Genomic DNA, 1,885 nt, shown 5'->3' on the forward strand with positions numbered 1-1,885 from the left:
CAATTTTAGTTTCTCAGCCACATGAGGTATATTTTACATGCTCAATAGACATGGGTGCTGGAGGTCACATATTGGACAGCACAGACATAAAACCTTTTACCATTGCAGAAAGTTGTATTGGACAATGCAAGACAAAAGGTTCAGAACATTGTTGTATCTCCCTCTTTGAACTTTGAACTTCTTGAAGTCACATGTGTATCCCCAACAAAAGCAATGCTCAATAAATATTTGCTGAAAAATTTTAAATTGAATATTATTAAGATCTGAGTTTCATATGTTCTGTTATTGCATGTAAGCAATCAAGCAATCACAGTCTTTTTTTGCTTTCTTAATCTAACAAGAAAAAACTTGGGCCAAAAGGGTTTCTAGACAGGCAGGATGAAAAGTTAGAAACAATAAGCAGGGCAGAGATCTTGGTATATACGTCTTGCCTCAAGCTCAGGAAAAGATGAAGCCTCTACTCTGATGCCAAATTAGTGAGAAGAAAACAGTAGAAGTTTAGAGTTTAGTAGCAGGTACGAATATTGCTCACAAAAGCAGGCTATATCATATCTTCTACAAATGACATCTATTAAGCAATGTTACTTTTAGTTGGAAGGTGATACTAGTGGTAGCTTACATATTTAGTTTTAATTCTAAGGGGAGAAACTGAGGTGATGGAGCCGTTTTACATCACTTACCAGCCATCACTCCAGTGATTAGTTAGTTTAAAGATATTCTTTTGGCTGGGCATGGTGGCTCACACCTGTAATCCCAGCACTTTGAGAGGCCAAGGCAGGCAGATCACAAGGTCATGAGTTTGAGACCCTGTCTCTACTAAAAAATACAAAAATTAGCCGGGCATTATGGCACATGCCTGTAGTCCCAGCTACTTGGGAGGGTAAGACAAGAGAATCGCTTGAACACAGGAAGCAGAGGTTGCAGTGAGCAGAGATTGGGCCATTGCACTCCAGCCTGGGTGACAGAGTGAGACTCTGTCAAAAAACAAAAACAAAAACAAACAAACAAACCACAAGCAAAATTAAGATGTTCTTCCAAGTATGGACTGTCCTCTGGGGTTATACAATGTCCAAATCTAGGAAGATCAAATTTCATAATAAGCAAGGCAGATCTATTTTCTACAGCAACGTAAGGGAGCGTTTGATCTCTGAAACCTGTTTGAGGGTTGCTGAGCCCTCAAACAAAAAGAAGCTGATCCTGAAAAGAAGGAAACATTAAGAGTTAAGGAAACTTGGTTTTGGTTGCTGCTTTTGTTTTCTGAATACAACTGTACTGTATAGACTGCTAATTCTGCCCTTAGTTTGTGGCAAATATTCAAGGATCCAATTCCTATCCTTTTCAAATTAGGTATCCTTGTGAACTGTAATTGCTCTTTCAACTGTCTTTTGAAGGATGCCAATGGTAATTATTGTAGCTTCCAAAGTTTGAAGCCCTGGAGTGACTCCTACATTTGAATGACTCATAATGATTGACAGATTTAGCTGGCTTTATACGGCTTAACAGTTAGTCACCCCTTCCTCTGTGTTTCTTCCTCCATTGACCTTGGATGGAATTTTGCTTAATTAGGAGAAAAGTTCATTCTATGATTACAACTCTGGGTATAGCCATTTGGCAAGAAAACCAAGCTACTTATGAGATACTACTCATATCGTTGATTGAGTTTAGTTTATCCCAGTGACAGTCAATCCCAGAAAGTGTTTTCGGGATCTTAAAAAATGGAAATATTAGCAATGATGACAGAAGGAAATACAAAAAAACAATAATCAACCTTAATCCCAGCACCCCAAACCATCATTCTTACAAGTGCCTATAATGTTTGAGTCTACCTACATGCATACACATTTTATCAGTTGTAGTTTACATATTACTTTGCATTCTGATTTTT

The 1,885-nt window shown here is 38.0% G+C and overlaps 1 annotated feature.

Annotated features, from left to right (window-relative positions):
• Positions 1,323–1,617: a silencer, noted in NCBI's record as "tiled region #6222; HepG2 Repressive non-DNase unmatched - State 24:Quies". NCBI's record gives its function as "represses a minimal TATA promoter and a strong SV40 promoter by Sharpr-MPRA in HepG2 cells {active_cell/tissue: HepG2}" and the evidence as "EXISTENCE:reporter gene assay evidence [ECO:0000049][PMID:27701403]".

This window comes from Homo sapiens, chromosome 11, assembly GCF_000001405.40.
Source record: "Homo sapiens chromosome 11, GRCh38.p14 Primary Assembly".
Classification (NCBI taxonomy): domain Eukaryota; kingdom Metazoa; phylum Chordata; class Mammalia; order Primates; family Hominidae; genus Homo; species Homo sapiens.